The 21,612-nt window shown below is 39.4% G+C and overlaps 3 annotated features.

Annotated features, from left to right (window-relative positions):
- Nucleotides 1,120–1,621: an enhancer, noted in NCBI's record as "H3K27ac hESC enhancer chr2:19384517-19385018 (GRCh37/hg19 assembly coordinates)". NCBI's record gives its function as "activates a minimal SCP1, AML or CMV promoter by ChIP-STARR-seq in naive H9 embryonic stem cells {active_cell/tissue: H9 hESC(naive)}" and the evidence as "EXISTENCE:reporter gene assay evidence [ECO:0000049][PMID:30033119]".
- Nucleotides 1,622–2,121: an enhancer, noted in NCBI's record as "H3K27ac hESC enhancer chr2:19385019-19385518 (GRCh37/hg19 assembly coordinates)". NCBI's record gives its function as "activates a minimal SCP1, AML or CMV promoter by ChIP-STARR-seq in naive H9 embryonic stem cells {active_cell/tissue: H9 hESC(naive)}" and the evidence as "EXISTENCE:reporter gene assay evidence [ECO:0000049][PMID:30033119]".
- Nucleotides 20,832–21,331: an enhancer, noted in NCBI's record as "H3K27ac hESC enhancer chr2:19404229-19404728 (GRCh37/hg19 assembly coordinates)". NCBI's record gives its function as "activates a minimal SCP1, AML or CMV promoter by ChIP-STARR-seq in naive H9 embryonic stem cells {active_cell/tissue: H9 hESC(naive)}" and the evidence as "EXISTENCE:reporter gene assay evidence [ECO:0000049][PMID:30033119]".

Consider the following 21,612-nt stretch of genomic DNA (forward strand, 5'->3'; position numbering starts at 1 on the left):
TGGCTTGGTAGTGGTGGATGCACTCAGCATTTGTTTGCCTGGAAAAGACTGCATCTTTCTTTCATGTATGAAGCTTACTTTCAATGGATAAAAAATTCTTGGCTGATAATTATTTTAAGGAGCCTAAAAACAGGACACCAATCCCTTCTAGCTTGCAGGGTTTCTGCTGAGAAATCTGCTGTTACCCTCAAAGGTTTTCCTCTACAGATTACCTGATGCTTTTGCCTCACAGCTCTTAAGACTCTTTCCCTTGTCTTGACTTTAGATAACCTAATGACTATGTGTCTAGACAATGATCTTTTTGCGATGAATTTCCCAGGTGTTCTTTGAGCTTCTTGTATTTGGATGTCTAGATCTCTAACAAAGCCAGGGAAGGTTTCCTCAATTATTCCCTCAAAGCTGTTTTCTAAATTTTTAGATTTATCTTCTTCCTCAGGAATTATTCTTAGGTTTGCACATTTAAGATAGTCCCAAATTTCTTGGAGGACTCGTTTGTTTTAAAAAATTCTTTTTAATCTGAAAGCCTTGTCTTTGAGCTCTGAAGTTCTTTCTTCTGCTTGTTTGACTATATTGCTGAGACTTTCCAGTGCATTTTGCATTTGTCTAAGTGTGTCCTTGATTTCCAGAAGTTGTGATCATTTTTCATTTGTGCTATCTATTTCACTGAAGAAGTTTCCTTTCGTATCCTATATTATGTTTCTGATTTCTTTAAGTTGGACTTCACCTTTCTCTGGTGCCTCCTTGATTAGCTTAATAGTCAGCCTTCTGAATGCTTTTTTTTTTGGCAATTCAGAAATTTTGTCATTGTTCGGATCCATTGCTAGTGAGGTGGTACGATTTTGGGTGGTGTTAAAGAAGCTTGTTTTGTCATATTACCAGAATTGTTTTTCTGGTTCCTTCTCATTTGGATAGACTATGTCAGAGGGAAGATCTGGGACTTAAGGGCTGCTATTTAGATTCTTTTGTCCCACTGGATGCTCCCTTGATGTGGTTCCTCCCCTTCTCCTAGGAATGGGGCTTCCTGAGAGCCAATCTATAGTGATTGTCTTTTTCTCTTCTGGGTCTAGCCACCCAGCGGAGCTACCAGGCTCTGAGCTGGTACTGGGGAATGTCTGAAAAATGTCTTGTGATGTGATCTGTCTTCAGGTCTTGCAGCCATGGATACCAGCACCTGCTCCGGTGGTGATAGCAGGGGAGTGAAGTGGACTCTGTGAGGGTCCTTGGTTGTGTTTTTGTTTAGTGCACTGGTTTTGTGTTGGTTGGCCTCCAGCCAAGAGGTGGCACCTTCAAGAGCACATCAGCTGTGGTCATATAGGTAGGATGCAAACTTGCCCTAGGGACACCGGGTTAAGTATTCAGGTTTCTCAGGTGGTGGGCAGGGCCATAGAACTCTGAAGAGATTATGACCTTTGTCTTTGGTTACCAGGATGGGTAGAGAAAGACCGTCAGGTGTGGGCAGGGATAGGCAGGTCTGAGCTCAGCCCCTCCTTGGGCAGGGCTTGCTGCCGCTGCTGTGGGGGATGGGGGATGGTTCCCCAAGTCCAGTGAAGTTATATTCCCAAAGGGATTATGGCTGCCTCTGCTGAGTCATACAGCTCACCAGGGAAGTGGGGAAAAGCCAGTAGTCACAGGCCTCACCCCGCTCCCACACAGCCCACAGTCCTAAAGGCCAGTCTCACTCCCACAGTGCCCCACCAACAGCACTGAGTCTATTTTTTGGCAGCCGGTGACCAGGGCTGAGAACTTGCTCCAGACCACGAGCCTCCCCATTGAGAAAGCAAGCAGACTCACAGTTTTTTGGTGTCCCAGGGAGCATACAGCAGTGATCAAGTTCCTTCAAAGGGTCTGTGGGTTCTCTCAGCTTTGCTGGTATGTTCCTACAGTAGTTCTTGAAGCAAAAGTTCATGATGTGAGTCTCCACACGCTGGTCTATCCATCTGATCGAGAGCTGCAAGCTAGTCCTGCCTCTTATCAGCCATCTTAATTGAGATTTCAGATTACATCAAATTTTCTAATAGGTGATCATGTCATCTGAAAATAAAGGTAGAATTATTTTTTTCCTTTTCAATCTCAGTGACTTTTTTTCTTTACCTTATTGCACTGGCTACAATCTCTGGCACAGAGTTAATTAGAAGGGGTTGAAGCTGTCATTCTTGTCTTCTTCCTGATCTTAGAGAGAACATATTCAGTCTTTTTCCAGTATGGTGTTTACTAAAAGTTTTTAATTTGATACTTTTTATGGAGTTGAGAAAGTTTTCTTCTGTTTCTAATTGGTTGAGAGATTTTTTTCATCAAGAATGCATGTTGGAAATTTTTTTCAAAAGCATTGTCTATTTTTATTGAGATTGCCATTTTTAAAAATTTTTGGTATGTTAATGCGATAGATTACATTGATTTTTGAATATTATGCTAATTCTGCATTCCTTGGATAGGTCCACTTAGCCATGATATATTCAATTTACTAAATTTTTGCTTGAAATTTCATAAATATGTTCGTGAAACATTGGTCTGTAGTTTTATTGTGATGTCTCTGTCTGACTTTCATATCAAAGTACTACTAGCTCACAGAATGTGTTGGATAATAGTTTCTCCTCATCAAAATTTTCTAGAAGAGAGTATGCAAAACTGGTCATATTTTTTTTTTATGTTTGGTAGATTTCACCAGTGACACCATCTGGGAGTTTTCTCTGAAAAAAAAAAAGTTCTTTTTTTACTACAAATTAAATTTCTTTAATAAACCTAGGGCTGTTTATATTATCTAATAATTCTTGAGTGAGCTTTGGTAGTTCATATCTTTATAGAGATTTGTCCATTTCATTTAAGTTGCTGAATTTATTAACATAAACCTGTTAATACTATTCCCTTATTATACTGTTAATATCTGTAGAATCTGTACTGATCCCAGCTTTCTCATTCCTTATATTTGTAATTTGTGCCTTCTCTATTTTTCACGCTCATCAATCTGGCTAGAGGTTGATTGATTTTATTAATCTTCTTAAAGAGACTGTTTTTGGTCTCACTGATTCTCTCTACTGTTTTTCTGATATTAATATCATTGACTTCTGCTCTGATCTTTCTTTCTTTTTTTCTACTTACTTCGAGTTTAAGTTGTTCTTCTTTTTCTTGCTTCTTAGGGTGGAAACTTGAGACCTTTCTTCTTTTATGAGGCATTTAATGCTATAAATTCCCCCTAATTTCTGGTTAAGCAGTCTCCCACAAATTTTGATATATTAACTTTCACTTCAATTCAGTTCAAAATGCTTCCTTTTCTCTTTGGATTGCATCTTTGACTCACAAGTTATTTATAAATATATTATTTAGTTTCCAAATATTTGGGAATTTTCCTGAGGTCTTCTAGTTGTTGATTTTTAAGTTAATTCAATTGTAAAATCATTTGCTTTTGCCTCTTATTCCCCGATCTGCCATTTCTAAACCAGCATTGTGGTTTCTTACTTGTGACTTTATAGCTTTCTCCACTTCTCTAGCCAGCAAACTCCTATGTCTTTGTCAATGCCCACATCAGATACAGTGTTTTCTGTAAAATCTTCCCAAGCTCTTCCAGATGAAGTCTGTTGCTTTCTCTTTCATGCCTGCAAAATCCTTTATGTGCACTGATTTAAGGGTTCCTATCACACTGGGCTGCAGTTATGAGATTACAAGTTTGTCTCTTCCACTAGACTCTGAGGCCCTGAAGGTCAGGGCTGAAGTTCTATGCAGGTTTGTCTCTGCAGAGCCTGGTGTACAGCAGTATACAACAGTTTCTTAAATGAATGAATGAGTCAGTGACAGAGCCACTTATTTTTGAGTCCCAAGCCTATCCCTCCAGCTCCCAGAATGACTCAACTACTAAAAACAAAGAGAAGATGTGACTATCAAGAAAGAGAGCGGGAGGAATAAATAGGCTTCTTTGTGTGAGAGAGAACCACGGACATGAAGCAGGCCTCTCAGGTATGGCAGGATGCCTGCTTTATGTCCAGGTTGACTTTGTGCCTGTAGGAACTGGGCTGGTGGTTATAGACCAGGTCTGGTCGGCCTTACCTATGCAGATGGTAACCAGGCCACCTATGAGTGAGTGCAGCCGACACAAAGCAGCACCATGCAGGTGTTCCCCATTCCAGCTGTGGGAAGCTGCTGGCTGAACACGGGAAACCATGTTTGCACCAGGCTTGGACCTGTGTGTGCACAGCAGTGTGTAGGCACATGTGTGTATGTTGGGGGAGTTGGGGGTGACTAATGGAGATGAATGATTACTTAATCTGAACTCATCAGGAATAAAGAGCCAACAGATTCCTTATTTCCATCTCTGCCTGCACTCAAGTGCATATACCAAAGCCTATGGTTTACATACTTTCCTAGTGATTTGATCTAAAAATATTTCACCTTTCCTAACCTGTGCCTGTCAGTGACTAACATTATCATAAAAAGTGCACTTTTACTGGGATTCCATAGCAGAAAAGGAGGCTCCCCTAGTAATATTACGTGCCCTTTTAGGAAATTAACTTTTAAAAAAGACATCAGAATATCAGAATACTGAGCTTCCATGGGCAATTGTAGCTATCAGATATGACAGATATTGAATGGCTTTTCTCAGGGACCTGTCCACTCAATGTGTTCCACCATACCGCTTACAAAGCATTGCAACCAGAGTTTCCTATTACTCAACATTATGTGTATTATTCTAAGTATAGAGGCCACTAGAATATCAAGAAACATATGGCACATCTTTCTAGCAATCTGGGATTCATCACTGAAATGCACACTCAGGATAGCTCAGGAAGATACCTACAGAAATGAATGGCTTGACTAGGAAAGGTTAGACCTTTGTATGTCTCTATCTGCAGCTTTGTCTACCATTTTTCCTATTATTTCTACACAAGCCTGCTGTGCTCCTAAAATACCATTCTTCTTAGCAATCTGGGGTGGGTGGGGACAGACTCCTGTAGATCCCCAAGTCTTTGATCAGTATGTAAAACTTTCAGGTAAGATCCTACCAAAAGGGCTTCCTAACTGCTTTGGCTTTTCCAGTAAATTAATGGACTCTATCCAGTTCGTATCTGGAAAAGCTTTTCGCTCTTTAACTAAAGATCAGGTAAGAATAATTGGACACACACTCCGGCATTGGAACTTGATAGAGTTTACTCTGGGACCTTATGGAGGACAAAGGATGAATGACATGCTGTAAATACTGGCCTCACTCCCCAGTGTCTCCTCTCTAAGGAGCTGGTAAAAACCTTAAACCCATGTGGGTGGAGCTCCAGGTATGTGTGAATCCTCTTGTGTGTGGTCCATGCAGGGGGCCCACAGAGTCAACCCGGGTTGCTTGTTCCTTCTTCTCAGCTGTCTTTGAAAACCTGGACCATATTCTTTGATCCCATCAGGGTATAGCTTCTCCTCAGTGTGTGCTGCACAGTGATGGCTGCATTTCTAAGAGAACACTCGGAGACCAGACCTGTTGTCTGGTACTCTCTCAGAAAGAGTGAGACCAAGTCCTGCAAGCCGACTTCACCCAGTCTGTGGGGAGCTGCCTTATTTCCTGAGAGGTGGCTTTTCGTTTACATTGATCCAACTCACTCTGGGCTCTGGATGGTGAGAGAAGCAAGCCTTTTTGATTTGATGCTTGCAGACTGACCACCTGTCCTTCAGGATCCTAACTCTAAACTTGTAGTCTTTTCCTGCATCACCCATTCCTGAAGAGAACATTTTACTTTCTTCTGCTGATGCATTTATTTTTTGTTCCACCAAAAAAAAAAAAAAAAAAAAAAAAACACTGGTGCAGCATCTACATCTCAAAATAAACAAGAATCCTATTTTGTGACTTCATTTTGCATACAGGGGTAGGAATTATCAGTAAAGCAACTAATGAGAGGTCTTCAACAAAGCAGCTCCTTACCAGATGTTTATGTAATTTACTTACTCAGTCATCAAATCATTCCTGTGTTCACATTCTGTACCAGATACTGTCTTACACAGTGGGGAGACAGAGATGAACTCACTCCTGCATTCAAGGAGTTCATAGCCTGGTGGGTTGGCAGCCATCTAAGCAACTAAGCATATTAAACTGTTGGATGGACTATGCTAACAGTCTGTGGAGGGTACAGCGGATTCTGGGAGAGTGACCTGGGGTAGAATTGGGAATGGGAAGGTGGAAGGAAGACTATGAAGAGCAGGCATTGTCATCAGATAAACTAACCTTGAGTCGTGGCTCTGGTTCTGCCCTTTACTAGCTGTGCATTGTTAGGAAAATTACTTAAGTTCTCTGAGTGTTAGCTTTATTATCTGAAATCAAAATAATTACAGTGAGATTTTGGGGAAGATTAAATGAGATCATATTTATAAATCAATTAGCACAGTTACTGGCACCTGGTAAGTGTTCAATAAATGTGATTTATGCATTAATTATACAATTATTATTTTCTAAGCAGTGGCCAGGTCAACTCTTGACATGATAGAAGATCTGTGCTAAAGATGAGATGGGGAAAGCCGACAGAGATTTCCTATCCAGGTTACAGAGATGACCTTTTTTCTGTTTATTGGAAGCTGCCAGCCTGACTTGATTTGCTGTAAAACCCACTTCTTTTCCAGTTACTGGTTGGGAAATTTTATCCCAAGTTATCAATTTACAAGGTGTATGGCAGAAGCAAGCCTGCGGATGGTGCAGCCACTCTATCTGGTTGTCTGCCTCGGCAATGCCTCTTTTCTCCAATTCCGTTTTCAATAAGCAGAGAAGACTGAAAATCCTCCGGCCCCTGGCATGGCTCTGTCTGTGTTCTGGACAAGTGCCAGTTGTAAATGGCTCCTGCTTTTCTTCTGTTAATACTGTGTCTGCATGTGTACCTATCTAGGCCTTTGTTTAAAAATTAAGAAGTGCGTCCAGACAGTAAGTGCATAGAAATGTAGACGCAGGCCAAGAAAAAGAGTGTGGCTGATGTTAAATACAGTGGTGAATAAGTATTTAGAACCTGAGAAATTGTAGTAAAGATTCATTCAAGTTTTTTTCACCCACAGATTTATTCAGTATAATTTAGGATAGAGGGTATGCAGTGCCCAGACACAGAACCCGTGATACTTCTTATATACAATCTTTTTATTAATTGATTCAATGTGCAAATTTCCCTCCAGCCTTTCTTTTTCTTCATTAACACTAGTGAAAATGAATGGAATGTGCAGATTTCTTCAGAAACCTGTCTCAGGTCACCCGTGATGCTGGGAGTCATTTGTGGTAATAGTCCCTTAAGCCTACCTTCCATCATCCCTAGATTTGAACCAAAGTACCAATGCTACAAAGGACATCAGTATCCATTCATTCATTTATTTAACCAGTGTTAGATGCATTACTATTGCATGTAAAACCCTGTGTAATGTTCTATAAGAAATACAGGAATAAATAAGACAAGTCCTTGTCTCCAAGGAGCTCATATCTAAAGAAGGATGCATACTACTCCAATATCCAATATAGGCGGATACAAAAAAAGGAGCAAAGATGAGTCAAGGTTATTAAGAGAACCTGATGTTTTTCATCTATGTTAAATGAATCATCAATAGTTCATTTTTTAAAGGGTAGACAAAGTCATTATTATATCTTTACTAACTATGCATAAATTGCAACTAATTAAAGAGTTGAACATTTAAACCAGATATTTTGGTGGATGTCCAATAGATATATTGTCATGTGACTGTACGTACTCAGATTATCAAAACTAATATTTCTAGAATTTTTATAGTAAACAAAGTGCTTTTGGTGTTAGCTTGTGTATATACAGCTGGTATTAAATAAATACTTTTATACATTTATATATATATATTTAGATTTGGAGATGCATTCACTTATAAGATCACAAGAGTTGAGTTGTGTCAATAGAACCCATTCTTGTAAAAATCAAACTTCAAACATTTCTCTTTTCCTCAGATTGAGGTACAGTATACCTGAAGCTCAATGTTACTTAACATGATAAAATAAATCTAAAACAAAAATCATACTAAAGTAAATACCCTGCTTACTGCTGAAATTTTAGAAGTCCTCCCGTTAAAGTCAGTGACAAGACAAACTGACACACTATCACTATCTTCAGCTCACATTATATGGGAGGACCTAGTTAGTGAAATCAGACAAAAAAAATGAATATGTTGAAAGATTCATAGAAACAACATCGTTATTTGATGCTGTCATGATTGCCGATCTAGTAAATACAAGAAAATCTATAGACAAATACTAAAACTAATAGATGTCGGGAATAGCAGGAATATTTTTCATTTGCACCTGCACATCCACTCTCTACTCTTCACTCTTTCAGTGCCCTGGGAGACTGACTTCTATAAGCGTCAAATGTATTTGGCAGGTGGTGAGAAGGAAAAGGGGCAAAGGCAGGAGATCTATCAGAAGGGAGGACAGGGTGTTAGTCTCCCAACTCTGCTTCACCACTGGCTAGCTGATCCCTTCCACCAATGTCTTAGCATCTGTCAGGCAGACTTCTCCACAGGAACCTTCTTGTCTCCCTGCGCTCCTTCCTCTGGTCCCTTCAGGTACAAAGGTGCTAATGAATCCTTGCTATTCCTAGCCGTGACCTACTGCATTACCACTAGTAGATTTCACATACCCTCTCACACCTCTGTAAATTATCCCTTTACTAATCTCTTCTCAAATTACCCTAATTTGAGTGTATCTTTTTCTTGTTGGGCTCCTGATTCTTACAAGCAATTTTGATGAGCACAAGATCATCAAATATAAATCAATATTCTTTCTATCCATTAGCAGTAACCAATTAAAATATGATTTTTTAAAGATTCCAGAAATTAGTCTGGAGTGTGTCAGATATTTACAATGAAATAATTAAAAATTTTAAAGGATATTAAAGAAAACCAGAATAAGTATATTAAATTATAATGTTCACTTTTGGAAAACCCAATCTTGTAAAAATATCAATTTTCCTCAAAATTAGTCTGCAAATCAAATGCAATTCATATAAAAATTCCAATAAGATTTTAATGAAATGGAATCATTCCAATCAATTCTAAAATGTATAAATTATGATAAAAATCTAAGAAGAGTTAAAAATCATTAGAGAAGGAAAGAGTCTATGAAACAGAACCAAGAGGAAAAGAAAGAGGTAGTTTTAGGAAGAATAACTTCTACTAGAACCCAAACCTTACTTAGAGCTATAGTAATTATAAAAGAATATATTTACACAAAAGGAGAATAACAAATGTACAAAATAGAGAGCCCAGAAAGAAATCTGCATGTTAATGAAGATGTGCTTTATAACCAAAAAATTACATTAGAAATCACTAAGAAAGTTGATTATATGAAAGATATTAACACAATAGGCTATCCATATGGGGGAAAATAATAACCTTGTGTAAACAGTACTAAAACACAAACCGAAATATAAAAAACAAAAACTTCTTAACAAAATAACAAAAATAGAAAACTATCTTTATCATCCATGCATAGAAAGGTATTTTTAAATAATACACCAAAAGAAAAAGTTATGAAATAAAAGATCATCTCATTCTACCTTTATGCTAACTCCATGTTAAGAAGAAAAAAAAAAGCTTTGTTGCATCTGTTTTTTGTTAGTTTGTTTTTTGTTTTTGTTTTACTTCTTAGGAAGTCCCATATAACTTGCTCTAGGTGACACAGATGAGACTTTATTCCAGGTCTCTTGACCAAAATTCCAGTGATTTGGGAAAACTGTTGCTATTTCCTCCACTCCTCTTAACCATATGACCCTTTCAGTCGCTTAGTCTTGAGAGCTCACTGATCTCATGTGTTTGAGTATTTGATGATGACCATCTTAGAGAAGTTGGAAAGGTTCCTGAAGCAAGGTCCCAGACTGTGTTCCAGGAAGAATGATCCAGAAAGGCTGAAAGCAGAGAGGAGAGGAAAGCAGGCTCTTGTGTCTTAGGTAGCGCTAATGCTTGCTAACACGGGTTTTCTTGCCACATCAGAGAAGGGACACCTGCCAAGACCACCAACCTTCCAGCCTTGGGTTTTTTCCTCAGGTGGACTCCAAGAGGTCCTTTGGAGTAGAACTGCATTGTGACTAGACAACGGACCATAACAGTTTCCTTCCTAACATATAATGCACTGTTGTCTCTTAATTGATTCAAATTTCTTTTAGACCATCTCTATAACATCAAATTTTCAAACGTTACTCCCTAGTCCATGAGGTAGAATATCTCTGCCTGCCACAAAACTCCCCTTAATCTTTAAAATTCAAGGTTTTCAAGCCCTGGGATTTGGAAACTAGGTTAAATGCAGAATATCAAGCCTCCTGATTATTTGATCACCTCTTCCCACATGCAGGCCTAGTCTCTAAATCCTGGCATGGTGTATGCCTAGGAACCCATCTGTTATTCTCTCATACCTACCTGACTGTGATGGAGCACTTCAGCTACAGCTGAGCACCTGTTTTTGAGAGTAAAATGTGAGTCTGACTCTGATCTGGACAGGACCAACACATGCCCCACAGTTACGTTATCACAACAAATTTAATGGAAGGTGAGGAGGTTGATGAGGATCTTGAACAAAGCTATCATCAAAGCCTACATTTTAGCACTTCTTGCAGGTGTGTTTGGTTGCTTTGTGCCCATAATCAGGAACTACAAACATGGCTACCAGTTTGTTTTCATTCTTTGTTTGGCTGTGTCTAAAGATGTCGAAACAACCTGTCAGTTTAACACGAAGATATTAGCTGGTTCATTAGACATATTCACTTATCTTTTGACAATGCAGAGATGGAAAAACTGGGAGCTAGCCTGCCCTCTCCCTTCTCTGGCCTCCTTTCAGCCCACCTCTAGTGCATTTTTTGCTCTGTGTAATTTGGTTGCAAGGTGTGAGAAAGGTAACTCAATCTGAGACCTGAGGAGTGAGCAGAGTGACTTTGTGGTTCATGGTTATTTAATCTGCTTTACCTCTCACAGTGAGTGCTACTATAGCTGTAGAATGTGTAATACTTAATGAAACTCAATACACTTGAAAATCTCTATTTCTGGTCTCTGGTTGAATGAGGATAATTATTACAGTAATTATTAGATTATTTGTGATAATAAGAATTTGCTCATTATCTTCACCTTTGTCTTCAAAGTATTACACAAACACTGACTTGATCCTTTAAACATCCTCTGCTTGGCCTGTTCACATTGGTCAACTGCTACATGTGTTAATCTTGGAACATAGCAGAGGAAATACCCCCTTCCTGCAGCTACGTTCTGTAATGACAACTTTCTGAGGTTGTGCCTGCCCTTTATCTGCAACCACCTTCCTTCTGGCATTCGGTTGACTGAATACCTACTTATATCACGGCTGAGTGATGAGAGATGTGAAGGGTACAATGCACAGAACTTAACAAATCATCTTCCAATGCACATTTTGCAAGTAGAGGTGGATATCTAAGTGTATAGGGATTTGTTTAGAACTTGGGGTTATGGGGATTAGGGAGAGAGGGGTCATATGTACATGGTACAAGCCATGGGTACAAGGGGACATGGTACAAGCCACACAAATGCAGAAGTATAAGAAGTCTCAGTGCATTAAGACAGTCAAGCTGGGGCATGAAGAAACTCTAATATCATGGTCTGACTGCAGTATTTGCTATGGCTAGAGGGACTGCAGTATTTGCTATGGCTAGATGGACCAAAAACATTTTTTTCCCTGGTTGGGTTTTTTTTTTTATTTTGTTAAGTAACCACAAGGAAGATAAATATCTATCTTTATATTCTAATTAAAATATCTTCATTTATTTCAGACAACAATTTGCTTGATAATTTTATCTTTATAGACTTTTAAGTGATAGCATACTTGAGTGAGTCTGGTAGCCTTTAATTGCATAGCTATGCAATAGTATAAGGAATGGGTCTCTGCTCAGATGACATTTGCCAGCAACAAGCTTTTGAAGAACTGCTTTCCTACCCAAACACAAATGACATGGAAATTTTTTCCTTAAGCTGAGTGACATTTTTCAGTTGACATTTGTGTTAATTTATTTGTATAACACACAATGAAATGTTTGCCTATTTTAAATTAAAAATGAATTTTATTTCTTATTTCTTCTTTATAAGGAAGCTATGTTGCCTCCAGATGGAAAATACCATTTAGAGAGCTTTAGTTTTTCTGGTGAACACAAAGATCCCTTGCTGAATGTGGCACAGCACACTCTGGGTGAGATGCTTAACTCAGACTCATGACAGCTTGCTGAAAGAAAGATTTCTGAGTCAGATATGAACTTGGCAGTGATGAAATCTGTTAAACATCTTCTCTGCTTATCAGGAAACATCAACTGAATCCCCCAGTGGCTGCCTCTGACTCCTAGTTTATTCCTACAAGAAGGCAGGAAGCAGCTCAATGCTGAGACCTTTCCCTCGTATCAGTTTCTGAGCACCTGGGAATAGTGAAAAATCCCAGGGCTTGGAATCAGAAGACCTGAGTATCTCTCAGGCTCTAGGACAAGATCACTCTAAGGCCTTCGTCAAGATACATTTCCATTCTGAGCCTCAATTCTCCATTTAGTAAATAAGAAGATTTCTGGCAAAGATGACATATTAAGTTTATATCTGGTACACTTTATCAGCTTTCAACATATAGTAATGACAAATTAAATATAATAAGAGAAATGCAAAAAGACATAGTTGGGCTCAAATAGCAAATATCAGCATGAACAGAAATAGAACTTCAGTACAAAGCACAGAGCACAACTGGAGCCATAAACCTTCTTTGTCACAATTCAGACTCTAGCAGTGATAGTCAGTACTCCCATTCTCATGGAGGAACATGGATCCATATAAACTAGAAGACTGAAGCTGGATTCAGTGTCTGAAATCAAAGACTGAATAAGTTCCAAACCATAACTTGAAGCCCAAAGAAGCTGTTGCATATTCTACCTACGGCTTATGCTTATAGGAGACAGTGATCATAGGGTGCAGGAAAACAAAGACAAAGACCAAGAATAGAGCCATACTACCTGCTGGCTCAGTGATGGGATATGTAATTCCCACAATTCTGCCACAAAGAAGAGATGCCAAAATGCCACTAGACGATGTGGGGCTGGCCTGTAAGTTCAAGAGCACTAAGAATTCGCATCAAAAAACCTTCTTAGTAAGAAAACATATAAAGGGGAATGTGAGAAAAATAAACTTTCACATCAATCTGAAACTAAAATTTTAAATGTGCTAATAAATTATATCATAAGGAAGGCAAAAGATACTAACAGATTGAAAAGTTTAGTTTTCTCCAGGTTAAACTACAAATTATTAATAGGAAGGTAGCTAGCAGACCTCAAAATAGATGGCGTTTAAACAACAGAGTTCTAAATAACACATAGGTTAAACAAGAAATCTGAAAAAAGTTCAAAAACATTTTAAATTAAAGTTAAATTAAAACAACTTATCAAAATTTGTGGGATGCAGCAGAAAGCAGGGCTTAGAAACAAATTTACAAATTGAATGCACATATAAGAAAAGAAGAAAGATCTCAAATCAATAATCTAAATTTCACTTCAGGAAACTAAGGAATAAAAAGGAAGTTAAATCCAAAGTAAACACAAGAAAAGAAATAGTAAAAATTAGAACAGAATCCAAAGAAATTGAAAACAACAAATCAAAAGAGAAAAATCAAGGAAAAGAAACCAAAAGCTGGCTCTCTGAAGATATTTTTTAAATGATAAGTCTTTAACCAAGTTAACTAATCAAATAAATGAGAGGACACAAATTATCAAAAAAAAATAGAAATAAAAGAGGAGACATTACTACAGATCCCATGGATATCAAAAAGATAATAAAAGAACAACATGAACAATTCTATGCCAACATATTTGACAACCTAGGTGAAATTGGCCAATTCCTTGAAAGATATAACTGCCAAAAGCAGCACACACAAAAATATAGACAATCTAAATAAACCTGTATCTATTAAAGAAATTGAATCAATAATTTCAAAACAGAAAACACCAGGCTCATTAGAGTTCACTAACTAATTCCAGAAAACATTAAAACAAGAAATTATACCAATTCTCTAAAATCTCTTTTGGTGGATAGAAGTAGAGGGACCACTTATTAACTCATTCTATGAGGCCAGCGTTAACCCAATACAAAATTAGATAAAGACATTACAAGAAAAGAAAACTACAGAATGTTATATCTAATAAGCACAGATGCAAAAATTCTCAACAAAATGTTAATCAATCAAATCCAACAATGAATACAAAAAATTAGACACCATGACCAAGTGGGATTTACTCCAGGCAGGTAAGTCTAGTTCATCATTTAAAAATCTATTAATGTAATTAATCCCATCGACAGGCTAAAAAGAAAAATCACATGATCATATCAATACATGCAGAAAAAGCATTTGACAAATTCCAACAATTATTCATGATTCTTAAAAATTCTTACTAAACTAGGAATAGAGGTGAACTTTCTCAACTTAATAAAGAATATCTACCAAAAAAACCCTATAGCTAACATCATACTTAATAGTGAGAAACTCAAAAGTTTTCTATTAAAATCAGGAACAAGGCAAGGATGTCCTCCTCTCACCATTTCTTTTCAACATTGTACTGGAAGTTCTAGCTAATGCAATAAGACCCCAAAAAAGGGAAATAAAAGGTAAACATATTGGAAGGATGAAATAAAACTCTGACAAATTGAGTTTTCATAGAGTCCACAATAATATCTCCCATTCACATGTTTCTCTTATTATGTGATTTTGACAATTCTTTCATTTTGTGATGGGATTTATATCTCCTTTCCTTGGACCTTGGCAGGATCTTGTGACTGCTTTGATCAATAAAGAACAGTGGGAATAATATTATGTGACTAGCAAATCTAAGTAATAAAAATATCTTTGTCTTTTGCTTTTTTCACTTGGGATGTTCACTCTTGGAAGCCAGCCACCATGCTGGGAAGAAGCCCAAGCAGCCTGTGGAGAGGTCCACAGTGGAGAACTGAGGCTCCCAGTATACAGCTGTGGCTGACCTCTTAGCCAACAGTCAGCATTAAGTTGTCATTCATGTGAGTGAACCATCTTGGAAGCAGATGCTCCAGCTGTTAGTTGAGCTGTCCCAGATGATGCCACACGGAACATAGATAAACCATTCTTGCTGAGCTCTGCTCAATTTGCAGATTTATTTTCAAAATAATTGTTACAATATTGTTTTGTTAATCCATTAAGTTTTGAGGTGGATTTTTACTTAGTACAAGTTGAGTATTCCCTCTCAGAAATGCTTGAGACCAGAAGTTGAGATTTCAGATTTTTATTTAATGTTGAAATATTTGCATATACATAATAATATGTCTTGGTGATGAGACCCAAGTCTAAACGTGAAATTCATTTATGTTTTATATACACCTTATACACACAGCCCGAAGATAATTTTATACAATACTTCTAATAATTTTGTGCATAAAGCAATTGTGTACATTGAAACATCAGAAAGCAAAGATATCACCGTCTCAGCCACTCATGTGAACCATCTGTGGTTGCTTGGTGTCACCATCATTTCTGACTCTGAATTTATATGCTACTCATAAACAGTCACTTTCTTACACTTATTCACACATACACATAAGTACTTAATAGTAAAAAATATGACATACTATTAATAGAGAGCAAAAGTAATGTGTGCAGGGTAACTAAGCATCACAGCAGCATCACCAGAAAACCTGAATCAGCTGTTAGGCAACAACAACAACAAACAATGGCAAACTGAATGAGCTGTGTTGTGTACCTGCATTTTGATTATGACCCATCACATCAAAGTAGATGTGAAAATGTACACTATGGATTCATACTGGCACTCAAAAAGTTTGAGATTTCTGAGCATTTTGAAATTCAGATTATTGGATTAGGAATGCTCAACCTGCAATGTCATCTAAAATAGTCCCCGCTTGCCTAGAAATGTGGACAATACAATTTACTCAGTTTTTTCTGACCAATTTAAATTTATCCTTTAACAGGATACCCTTTATGGAAGTGCACCAAAATTATACCCCAGCAGGCTTAACTATGCTTCTTCTGTGTTTCCACTATCCTAGCATAGATTATATGTATTCAATTTTTATATTTATGATATTTATGTATTTGCCTTGCTAGACTGTGGGAACAAAGACTACATCATATTCACTCTGAGGTCTGAGCATCTAGCACTGGGTCTTGCACACAGAAAGGACTCCAAAATACCCACTGAACTAAAATAAAAGTAATGGCCTGCTTCACAGTTTTCTATTCATGATTGAATCAACAGTATTGCAGATGATGTCAAGTAGGGATCAGTGTCAGTCACAGAGGGAAGAAAAGCAAAGTATGCAACCCAGGGGGATAACAGACACAAACCAGAAGGGTTCAATGCTAGTTTTCCCAGTGAGGGAGTCAACATTACCCTCATATGTGTAGTAATGGGTTTTTTTTTACAGAAAAACCACAGAGGTTTTCTTCCAATATATTTAATTGTTTTCTTGAGATCCCAGTTTATTGTGAGTGTTTTTACTCCTTAAGGGATTCGGATGTGGTGAAATTGATCCAGAATGACCTGCAATTCTGAAAATTAGAAGGCTGTTGAATATTTTCTTTGAAAATGTTAAAGAAAATGGGCATGTTGAAGTATCCCGGTCTTTGGTATTATGTTAGGGACTCTGAACAAGAAAAAGAATTCATCAACTATCACCATTTTTGAGACCAGAAAGTGAAAAAAAAAAAGCTATAACATGATCTATTTGAACCCAGATAAGATTTACAATTTTGCGAATACTCTAAGGTTTCAGCACCATTAAAGTTTTTTGATTGGCTTCTGCTTACAAGAATATCCTTCTGTATTTCCTAGGAGACTGTTCAGGAATATTCTAGGTAGAAACTTATTACTGGGTATATACCCAAAGGACTATAAATCATGCTGCTATAAAGACACATGCACACGTATGTTTATTGCGGCATTATTCACAATAGCAAAGACTTGGAACCAACCCAAATGTCCAACAATGATAGACTGGATTAAGAAAATGTGGCACATATACACCATGGAATACTATGTAGCCATAAAAAATGATGAGTTCATGTCCTTTGTAGGGACATGGATGAAACTGGAAATCATCATTCTCAGTAAACTATCGCAAGAACAAAAAAAAACAAACACCGCATATTCTCACTCATAGGTGGGAATTGAACAATGAGATCACATGGACACAGGAAGGGGAATATCACACTCTGGGGCCTGTGGTAGAGTGGGGGGAGTGGGGAGGATAGCATTGGGAGATATACCTAATGCTAGATGACGAGTTAGTGGGTGCAGCGCACCAACATGGCACATGTTTACATATGTAACTAACCCGCACAATGTGCACATGTACCTAAAACTTAAAGTATAAAAAATAAAAATAAAAATAAATAAAAAAATAAAAAAAGAATGTAAAATATTAAAAAAAAAGAAACTTATAAAGAGTTTTACTTAGAGGAGACAATTTCTTTTTATGTGATTCTGAGTCTCTTCCCCAGTGAAAAGCTGGTTTTCAGCGCAACTGTCACTGTTTCTAGCCATGACATCTCCTCCAGTAATAAGCTGGAAGGATCAACGATCTGAGATACCCCATCTCTCATAGTACTTGAAGAGCTCCAGTGTTATAATTTGAATTTCCAAAGGGAAAAGAAGATTAACCTAGTCCATCTACAAGGTCATAAAGGACCAGTTTAGGTTTCATCACTGTTCTCTCTGCCATAGATTCAGCTTTATCCTAAGGCTAGTTCCCTTTGCTATCACAGGATACCCATCAATACCAACACTTCCTCATGATTGTCAACAGCAGCAATAGACCAGGTGTCCTTGAAGTTTTCCTTTTGTCTAAGGAAATTTTTTACCAAAAGCCCCGAGAAAGTATCCTCTTACAGCTCATGGTTTGAAAGTATGTTTCTTGCCCATTTCTAGATAAATTATTGCCAACAGGAAAGGCCCCATGGTGGATTAGCTTAGGCTGAGTTTTACACCATTCTCTAGCAAGAGATGTAGGAATGACCATGATCTATATCATGTAATCAGGACCCTGAAACTGGAAGTAGGAAGCTCCACAATATGGAAGGGCTAGAATCACTGCTGGAGAGACAAATAGTGTTCACTGAGCATTGCTGCCTGCACTACAGGAATGCCATCAAATATCTGTGGAGCTGGTTAGATTTTTGATGTGTTCCTTCCGTCTCACATTTTGTTTTCCCTTGGTCTCTCATGAGGATTATTTCGTAGGAACTAAATGAACTGGCTTCTTCTGCCCTTAAGGGGAAGACAAGCTGGCAGGAACATTTGGCTGGGAAGGTGGATACATGAAGTCCCCTGGTTGAGAATCTGACTGCGGATCCCAAATCAAGATCTTCCTAGAGAAACAAGATGCCTCAGAACCTATCAGATTCCCTAAGGGTTTGGGAAGGCTCTCCCCTAGGGACTTCTCTGCCCTTATTGCTCTTGGCTAATGTCAGGAGGATCCAGGTGTTTGGGGAGTTGGAGAGGGAGATGGCATGCCAGTGACTGACTCAGCAAAAAGGCTTCTAAAGAAATGTGCCCAGGTTTCTGCTCTCAAAGTCCAGCCTCCACAGCACTTTAAACACTCCCGCCTCATGGCCCGATTAGATGGGAAATACATTTTTTGTTCCAGATATTTATTTAAAAGTTTCATTTTCACTTAATAAATCCACAGCCATGGCATCCGTGGAAGGTTTCCCCAAGTGGTAATTTATGCCTAATGAAGAATTACTTTTGAAAGTGCATGGGCTGCCTGTCACTGAGGGAAATTGTGGCCACTCAGTTTTTAGACTTATTGGCTGTTATAGATTAGGGAGTTGATATATATTTGAAATGTTTATGCCTTCTCCTTCTTGTTAATTATCGATCTAAACCTTTATGGATTCCGAGACATTTGTGAACAAGGCTTTCATTAATCCCCAAGGCTGCAGAGGGGTCTGGGTAATGGAATCTCCAATTTAGAGATATGCGGGAAACTTGGGACCCTAGAAACAGGCTAATTTCTAGGGTCACAATAGTGGGTCAGTGATGGCAGAACTTCCAGAGTTTATAACAGGGGCACAGGGTATCTAACTTGCTCAGCAAAGATGACCCTTTGGCTGTAGTTGGGGGACAGTCAGCACTGCCCTGCCAAAAACTGAGATGTAGCTACATCCCTTCACAATGCTCCTGGGGCTTCCCCTGCACCAGTGTCCCTGTCCTGTGCCCTGCTTTAACTTCTACTCGTGTGCAGTCTACCTACTGGTGGGTTCGTCACTTCATTCTGAATCAGATATACAAAATGTCCACACCGTTAACTCCCTTGTCTTATTCCATTCTGCTCCTCTTTGCCCGTCTTCCTTCCTATCTCTCACCTACTCACCACCCAAAGGCAGTGGAGGGTCTTAAAAATAGAAACCCTGGCAAGAATCTCTCAGAACTTGGTCACCAGATCATCAGAGCATGAGAAGTCCGAGGTGAGGTGTGTTTCTTCATTCTCTCATTGTAAGGTCTGCAGAGGGTCTTGGGTCCAGCCATGTGTCCTGCCATGGATGAGGCCAGCAGAGGGTCTCAGATCCAGCCATGAGCCCTGCTATGGATGGGGCCAGCACAGAAGCTGCACAGCCTGTGAGAGGACACTCATTCCTCAGGAGCACAGAAAGGAGGGGGCAGGATGGGCCTTTGTTTCCTTTTCCCATTTCATAATCCTGAGGGACTTTGGGGAGGTTCCAACTCTTTGCCTACTCTCAATAATTTCCTAAGGGGAGTCACTTGCTAAGAGAAATAATGGAACTGTTTCATTCCATATATAATATCACCTTTAACAGTCCAGCTTCCAGAAATATTCTAGTGACTGAACTTGGGCTTCGGGACATTTTCAGTGTTCTTGTTCCCTCTTATTTTCCTGGAGGTCATGACTTTGAAATAAACATGATGCCACTTAATGAGAATAATGGGAAAGCTGACATCAGAGCCTGGAGATCTTACCTGCCAAGGTGGAGAATCAGATGTCCCCTGTGGGCTGTATGGAACCTTTCTCCAGAATGTCTGCTTCACCCTCTGTGGAGCCTAGAGAAGACCCAGCCTCCTTCACAGACTAGAGATGTTGTGTGTCCTGCAGCACCATGTGCCTGAGTGAGGACTGGTCAGTTCTCAGAACTATGCCAGCAAACCTCTCACCTCTGACACAGGATGTCAGCCCAGGAAAGGCCCTAAGAACTAACCCTCCTTACCCAAGCCCCTCGCTATGTAAGAAATGAGGACTGAGGCCGGCCTAGATTGCGTGTTCCTAATAACAAATTCAAGAATGAGGGGGGCCTGGCGGGGTGCTCGCCTCCAGGAGGCCTGTGGTTTTATGTGTGTGAGCAAACACATTGTGTTTAAGTAGACCTTCCTCCTGCCCCCACCCATAGCCCTGCTCCCCTCCACCTCTTCTTTATTCATTGCTAACAGATGCTGCAGAGGCCAGAGCCAGGCAAGAGCAGGCCTGCATGGGCTCCCATGCGGGTGAGAAGAGGGAGAACTGATGAGCTGCCACAGAGCAGTGCTGATGAGGGTCTTGGCTTTGAATTTCAGTTCCCCCTCCTCCTCTCCCTCACCCCCTGCTAACCAGGCCTTCAGACATCTTCTGCTCTGTGTCCTTCACATCTGAGAACAGCCCAGATAAAAGAGAGCCTCTGCAAACTGCTAAAAGGTTGGTGTTTCTCCCGACAGCAGCATCGAGGCCAGGGAGCTGCTCTACAGCCTCCTCTCGCGGTGTTCAGCTAAGTGCTAAGGAGGAAGAGGCACATCCTGTGAACCTAGGCTGGGGAAGCCACACTGTGCTCAGGGCCACTGTCACCAGTATCAGCAACATGCCACGTCTCAGCAGCCCAAACCACCCTGTACCAGAGACAAAACAGGACAAGGCCTGAGAAGGAGGCCAACAAGGGATACTGACAACACCGGAGCCAAATCCCCACAAAGACAGCTGTCTTTTGAGCCCCCTTCACATCCATCTGAACACTGTCTGTCCCTCTGACACTGTGCAATGCCACATAAGAGATGCCCCTGTAGTGATGAGTTTGCCTAATGTCCTGTTGGGTAAGCACTGCTTCCTTAATTCCTGCCTGAATTCTGACCATCCTCAGTGCCTAGGTTAAGGACCTCTTCTCCTTTGAAGCCTGTCTTGATCCCTGGTTTGAGATGGTCACTGCTGCTCTGAGCCCCATGACCTGAATTTGCACTCATGGCCCTTACTATGTCTGCCTCTAATATTCCTCTCAGGAGTCTCCTTTCTCCCACATCCCAGCCCAGGGCCAGGGCCATGGCAGTTGCTCAATAAATGTGTTTTGGATAAGTTATATCCTGGAAACACTACTGAGCTTTGTATCAGAGAATTAAAATCTCGCTCTGCTTGAATTAAAATCTTGAATTAAAATCTTGCTCTGCTACACTGACAAGCTGTATACACCTGACTGTGCCCTATAGCAGTATTAAAACGTGGCCTCCTCATCTGAAGGATGGAGGTGATGGTCTCATTACTGCACTCCACACCATCACTCTTGGTAGGTCAAATGAGAAGCCAGATGTTAAATGGCTACAACAGTTGTACAATACAAGTAAATGGGCTTCATAATTCTGCTTTTCCTACTTCCATTTT

Source organism: Homo sapiens, chromosome 2, assembly GCF_000001405.40.
Source record: "Homo sapiens chromosome 2, GRCh38.p14 Primary Assembly".
NCBI lineage: Eukaryota > Metazoa > Chordata > Mammalia > Primates > Hominidae > Homo > Homo sapiens.